Below are 7,918 nucleotides of genomic sequence, written 5' to 3'. Positions count from 1 at the left end.
AATAATTTAAATTTCTGGCCATCTAATTAATACACTGCTAATCTGGTATTCTAAGCATTGTATCTAGCTGTCAATAATACCATCATCTAACCTATTTCTTTTTGCTTCACATTGATGATTTGTTTAATTCAACTGAATTTTCCAAACTAGTTTGTGTATTATTTGCTTATGGGTGAGTTAAAGGTCACACGAACCAAGCAATCTACTCACTCTCTCATAAGTACAATAAAACCATAAAATCATTAAGATAAGTAAAGTAGGTCTAATGCAAGTAACAACCTAGGTGGCCAAGGAATAATTATGTGCTAGGAAACCTAATCTAAGAGAAAGTAAACTGAGTGCTAAACTTAACTCTGAACTTTGAGGACATAGAAGATAAAATGGAATTGTGATATGTTACAGATCATACGTGTGTATCAATGAACAAACTTTTTCTTACCATATACTTTAAGAGGTATATATCCTCCAGGGATCTTGAGTGGTATAGTGAAATGCATTCAAAATAATTTTTAAAGGTCAGGGAGGGGGTAATTTGTGTTTTAGTTCTACGAAAGGAGAGTGTAATATGTTAGCTCATAGTCCGTGAAGTCATTTCTATGAGGGAGCTAGAGGGTTATCCAGGTTTACAGGTTACTGATGAATTAATTTGATAAAGGCAGAAAGCTTAGAGGATCTAGGGCATTGATCTTCAAACATTTTTATTTCTATACATCCTAAAATAATTTAAAAAATCTCCCCCTTAAATGTTTTAAAATTAATATCTAAAACATTTCATAAGAAGTTAAAAAAGCTAAAAACGATATAATTTTTAATATTTTAACTATGTTTTTTAAATGGTAACCTTTACAGTACATTTAAAGGCATAAAAGATCATTTAAATACCATGTAGACTTGATAACACCATTATCAGTTTAAAATACAATAACAACATTTAGTAGTCAGGAATTTTACATTGTTCCTTATTATCTTTGTACGCAGATTTTCATTCTGCTTCTACTATAGAACTGTCTTTGGAGATGAATTATTATTGGCATTCTATTGCTCAAAACAATCTAATTGTATAATTTTATAGAAATTATTTTAAGTATAATTGGTTAATATTGCTGTTTCTTTCCATTCAGATTTCTGCTCTTCATATTTCCCTTTGGATTAGATATTGTGGGAGTGGCTGTGGGGATTTTTGGGGAACCAGGTAAAAAGAAGTTGAGATGGGAACATGTTTAGTGTGTATTTAATGGGTTATGTATATATGAGGTTGACATTCTCTTCCATCTGTAGTTAGGTAGCAGCAATTAGAGAAGGAGTAAAACCTATACTATTTTGTCAACTCACTTGGAGTCTTAATACATAGGTTCAGGGCTAGAGATTGAACGATGATATGAATGCAGAGACTTGCACTACAAGCATATAGGTGGTGGAGAAGAAACAAACCTGAAATTAATGGAGACAGAAGCTAGTTTATGAAAAACTGTCAGCAAAAGACTTGGTTTCCATAAACACTTGGTCAAAATAGAAGTTTTCACTTATTAGGTATGTACTTGGTAATGCAACATGTGCAATTAGTAAATGTACCATACAGTTTCCTCCTTTTTGTTAAAAATCACAGAAAATAAGGCCGGGCGCAGTGGCTCATGCCTGTAATCCCAGAACTATGGGAGGCCGAGGCGGGCAGATCACGAGGTCAGGAGATCAAGACCATCCTGGCTAACACGGTGAAACCTTGTCTCTACTAAAAATACAAAAATTAACTGGGCGTGGTGGTGGGTGCCTGTAGTCCCAGCTACTCAGGAGGCTGAGGCAGGGGAATGGTGTGAACCCAGGAGGCAGAGCTTGCAGTGAGCCCAGATCGCGCCACTGCACTCCAGCCTGGGCGACAGAGCGAGACTCCATCTAAAAATAAATAAATAAATAAATAAATAAATAAATAAATAAATAAATAAATAAATATAAAAATCACAGAAAATAGAATTTCTTTGCCAGTCACAACTCTTTAGCAATATTACAAACAGCATTTATGTCTGTGAGTAAAGTCACATGTTTTTGCATCCAAATGATCAATAATTTTTTAAAATTGTTGAAGCCTGTTGTTAAAGAGAATACTGACTCACATTCCTATTCTTTCCATAAAAATAAAATATTAAAATCATTATTATATGAAGAGGCTATGGACATATGCAAACAAAGTAATGTAAAAAATAAGTTAGAGATGTATCGAGTACTTACTGAAAATGTTGTAATATTTCTAGATTTAGAAATATTTGTGTTGTCTCTTAGCATCACAAAATTTGTAGTGTTTTATTTCTTTTTTCATTCTAAATGTTAACATTTATACCTAAATTTATGTACTTTTTCTTAAAAAGCCCTCCTCTCACCCCAAATAATAAAAGCCTCAAGCCCCATAAAAGTTGCTTACACTTTCTTTGCTTTGATTTTGTGGGCCTTTGCCTCAGTGGTGATCTACAGTTATACAGCACACGGACTGCAGTACAAGAGGATCCTACCCTGTCCTATAGCACATGTCAATCCAGAACATCTCAAAGTTCCCCAAAACAGCCTGTTCTACTGTGTGTTTTGTTGTTGTTGTTGTTGTTTTTTGAGATGGAGTCTGGCTCTTGTCACCCAGGCTGGAGTGCAATGGCGCGATCTGGGCTCACTGCAACCTCTGCCTCCAGGGTTCAGGCGATTCTCCTGCCTCAGCCTCCCAAGTTGCTGGGATTACAGGCGTGCACCACCATGCCTGGCTAATTTTTTGTATTTTTGGTAGAGACGGGGTTTCGGCATGTTGGCCAGGCTGGTCTTGAACTCCTGACCTTAGGTGATCCACCCACCTTGGCCTCCCAAAGTGCTGGGATTACAGGCATGAGCCACCGCTTCCAGCTCTTCTGGTGTTATAATTTGCCCTTAATGGAAATATGATTAAGTCAAGGAATAAAACGTCATAGATATTGTATTGGGGATGTTTCACAGATACCAGTTGTTTGGGGCTCCTGAATTTTTTTCTCCCAACTTTTAATTTTGGAAAATGTCAAATGTATGGGAAAGTTGCAAGTGTAATATGATGAATGCCCATTTGTCTTTCACCTAGACTTAGCAATTGTTAATGTCTTATGTTTGCTTTCTCTTTCTAAATAAAATAATAATTCTAGTAATAATAGCAAGTACATATTATTATTGTTGAACCATTCGAGAGTAAGTTGCAGACATCCTGATCCTTTATCCCTAAATCAGTAACTACTCTCTAAGAGCAAAGTTATTCTCTCAGGTAAACAGATCCCTCTTCAAGGAAGAGTCTGCTGCCCAGATGCAGTAAGTGCCAAGCTCCTTTAGGTCAACCCATCTCAGCTGCAAGGAACTGCCTCTTCAGTATAATGTCACCCTGTTCCCAAAGCAGCTTTCATCAAGTAACTAAAGCAGGTGATGGCAAAAATAAACAGTTATTTCAATGGACTTGGGATGATTCAGGTAGGCAACAGTCACTCCAGAACTCCCTTGACCTACTCCTTAAATGCTGGTGATTTTCCAGGATCTCTGCCTCAATTTTCTTCTTTTCTGACTCCAGATTAGTGTTTTTCTAAAATTTTTTGCATCTAATGACTACATTGTTCAGGAGAAGAAGCCCAATTCAAGATACTTTAAAAAAATTAATCATAGATATCCACATACAAAAAAATTAATCTAGACACATACCTTTCACAAAAATTAACTCAAAATGAATCATATACCTAAATGTAAAGTGCAAAACTATAAATAAAAGATAACATACAAGAAAACCTAGATATCCTTGGGTATGGTGATGACATTTTAGGTATAGCACAAAGGGATGACCCATGAAAGAAATAATTGATAAGCTGGACTTTGTGGAAATTAAACACTTAGGGTGGGTGCAGTGGCTCGTGTCGGTAATCTCAGCACTTTGGGCGGCCAAAGCAGGTGAATTGCTTGAACTCAGGGGTTCGAGACCAGGGTGGGCAACATGGTAAAACCACGTCTCCAGAAAAAACACAAAAATTGGCTGTGCATAGTGGCATGCTCTTGCAGTCCCAGCTACTCAGGAGGCTGAGGTGGGAGAATCACCAGAGCCCAGGAGGTTGAGGCTACAGTGAGCCATGATCTGCCCACTGCATTCCAGCCTAGGCAACAGAATGAGAACTTGTCTCAAAAAAAAAAGAGAGAGAGAGAGAGAGAGAGAAATTAAATACTTCTACTCTGACAGACACTGTCAAGAGAATGAGAAGACAAGTCATAGACTGAAAAAAGTATTTGTAAAAGACATATCCATTACACTGTTACCAGTAGTGAATCCACACAGGTCTGCAGCAACCTCCATTTTTGCCTCCTCAGAAGACAGAATTTGACTGAGGAGCATAAGGCAGAAGAAGAGACAGAGGCAAGTTTTACAGCAGGAATGAAAATTTATTAAAAAGCTTTAGAGCAGGAACAAAAAGGAAGTAAAGTACACTTGGAAGACAACCAAGCAGGCATCTTGGAGGACAAATGCGCTGTTTGACCTTGGACTTAGGGTTTTACATGCTGGCATACGTCTAGTATTTTGTGTCCCTTTTCCCTTGATTCTTCCCTTGGGGTGAGCTGCTGGCATGTGTGGTGCCCAGCTAGCATTTAGAAGTTGAGCATGCTCAGTGTGTTTACTGGAGTTGTATGCATGCTCACCTGAGCTGTGTGCAATGCCCCCGTAGTTCATACACCAATTAAACTCTGCCATTTTGCCTCTTAACGCACACGCTTGAGCCCACTTGCTCAACTCCTGAGATCTTATTGGAAAGCTGATGACCACCAGTTTCAGGTGTTTTTTGTTTCGTTTTGTTTTGTTTTTTGTTTGTTTGTTTGTTTTTGAGATGGAGTCTCACTCTGTAGCCCAGGCTGGAGTGCAGTGGTGCGATCTCGGCTCATTGCAATCTCTGCCTCCCGGGTTCAAGCAATTCTCTGCCTCAGCCTCCGGAGTAGCTGGGATTACAGGCGCCCGCCACCATGCCCGGCCTCAGGCTGGTCTTGAATTCCTGACCTTGTGATCCACCCGCCTCGGCCTCCCAAAGTGCTGGGATTACAGGCGTGAGCCACTATGCCCGGCCTCAGGTGTTTTATATCTATTGGAAAACTGCCTTTCCTGGTGCCGGCTGTGACCAATTATTATTTTAGAGTAGCAGTGTGACAGCTCCCTGACCATCACTTGATGATCACCAGACATTCCTGATGGGGGTGGAGACCCTCTCCTGCCCTGTTTATGTCTGACTAGCTATCTACTCTAACAAAACAATTGCTAATCCAAAATATTCAAAGAACTCTTAAAACACAACAGCAAGAAAATAAACAACCTAATTAAAAAATGGGCCAAAGACTAAACTGACTTGTCACTGAAGAAGATATACAGATAACAAATAAGCATATGAAAAGATGTTAAGCATCACATATCATTAAGGAATTGCAAATTAAGACAACAATGGGTTACTGCTACACAACTACTGGAATGGCCACAATCCAAAACAATGACAACCCCAACTGCTGGAGAGGATGTGGAATAATACGAATTCTCATTCATTGCTGGTGGAAATGCAAAATGGTTACAGCCACTTTGGAAGACAGTTTGGCCGCTTCTTACACAATTAAACCTACCTTTATCATATGCTCCAGCAATCGAGCTCCTTGGCATTTACCTAAATGAACTGAAATGTGTCTGCACAAAAGCCTACACATTAATAGTTACAGCAGTGTTATTCATAATGGTTTAAACTTGGAAGCAACCAAAATTCCTACAGTAAGTGAATGGATAAACTGTGGTATATTTAGACAATGGAATATTATTCAGCACTAAAAGGAAACAAGCTATCAAGACATGAGTAGACGTGGAGGAATCTGAAATGCACATTACTATGTGAAATAAGCCAATCTGAAAAGGCTACCTAAAGTATGATTCCAACCATATCACGTTCCAGAAAAGGCAAAACCATGGAAACAATAAAAAGATCAGTGGTTGCCAGAGATTGTGGGGAGGAAGGAATGAATAGGTGGAGCATGGGAGATTTTGAGAGTGATGAAGATACTGTTCTGACATTCTTCGATCTGTATGACACTATAATGGTGAATACATGTCATTACACGTTTATCACTAATTCCCTTAGTGACAAATGAACCCTAATGTAAACTATGAACTTTGAGTGATAACGATTTGTGAACTTAGGCCTATCAGTTGTAACAAATGTATTAATACCACTCTGGTGGGATAATGATAGTGGGGAAAGCAGTGCATCCTTTGGGGGCAGGAGGTATGTGGGAACTCTCTATACTGTCTGCTCAATTTTGTTGTCAATTTGAAAGCACCCTAAAAAAATTATCATTATTAAAAAATTAATCATAATTTTATATAAAAGGTAATCATGGTTTTACTTAAGCATAACTTTTAAAATTAATCATAGTTTTGAATTAGTAAAAATAAAACTACAAACTTTTGTGACTATTATTATTTTTATTATTTATTAAGGTTGTTTCATATTTATGAGAAGAATAGTATGGTTTCCATTCTTCCATCAAGGTATCTCTATTTGAGTTTCAAATCAGACACCACATCCAGGCAGTTTCTTTTTTTTAATTGAAATTTAAAATTTTTAATTATTATGGATAGATAATTTATTATCTATACAATATTTCTTGGGTATATGTGATATTTTGATACAAGTATACGATGTGTAATGATCAAATCAGGGTGATTGTGGTATCCATCACCTTAAGCATTTATCATTTCTTTGTGGTAGCAACATTCTTTCAGTTATTTTGAAATGCAGAGTAAATTATTGTCAGTTATACTCACCCTATTGTGCTACCAAACGCTACATCTTACTCTTTCTAATTGTATTTTTGTACCCATTAACCTATCCTTCTTTATCTCCCCGCTCCAGGCAGTTTCTTTCATTACTTTTTATTTCTATTTTATAAAAACTTATAGGTTGTTGAGAATGGCATGTAAGAATTGTTAGCTCACTCAAGTAGTTCTGGATATTTGAATCAAACATGGATTCAGAAATTATGCAACTTTGTAATTACTTTCCGCATTTTTCAGTTACTCAAAAGTCAAATATTAGAATTTGGGAGATAATTGCAAAATAATTATTAATGTACCTCTTAGGTATGTTTTTGGCTCTGAAACTTATATCTTTATGTTTTAGTTGTAGCATGTGAATATGTTTTAAAATATATGCCTAAATATGTTGTTTATCCCCACCTTTTTTTGTTTTTTTGACAGAGTCTCGCTCTGTCACCCAGGCTGGAGTGCAGTGGTATGATCTCAGCTCACTGAAGTCTTGACTGACTGCCCAGGCTGAGGTGATCTTCCTACCTCAGCCTCCAAAGTAGCTGAGATCACAGGTGCATGCCACCATTCCTAGCTAATTTTTGTATTATTTGTAGAGGTGAGGTCTCACTATGTTGCCCAGTCTGTTCTTGAACTCCTGGACTCAAGCAATCCTCTTGCCTCAGCCTCCCAAAGTACTGGAATTGCAGACATAAGCCACCATGCCTGGCCCTGTTTATCCCCTTTACATAGGGAAAAAAATCCCCAAGTGTTAGAAAAGAATAAACTCTTGCCGAAACCAAAGAACTGTAGTTTGGTTTTTCCTGAGAAACTGAAATCTTAAATATTAACATTAAGGTGTTTCAGGCCTGAAGTTAAAATACTGAATGCATTTCAAAGATTTACCACTTCAACAAGATTTTAAAATCACACAAATGTGCTTTATTGGCTATGCCATGTCATAAAGAGATGTTATTATCTTATCTCATCTCTCATTTCCATTCAAGAGGTATTGTTTTTAAATGTAAAAAGCATGACCTGGAACCTACTGCCCATTTCTTTGCACAGCACGCTGAGAAGATGCTAAACTTTGACTTCATTCACAATTTTTCATAATCT

The sequence above is a fragment of the Homo sapiens genome, chromosome 7, assembly GCF_000001405.40.
Source record: "Homo sapiens chromosome 7, GRCh38.p14 Primary Assembly".
Classification (NCBI taxonomy): Eukaryota; Metazoa; Chordata; class Mammalia; order Primates; family Hominidae; genus Homo; species Homo sapiens.
The sequence above is the reverse complement of the archived record's forward strand: the minus strand, read 5'-3'. Positions refer to the sequence as shown.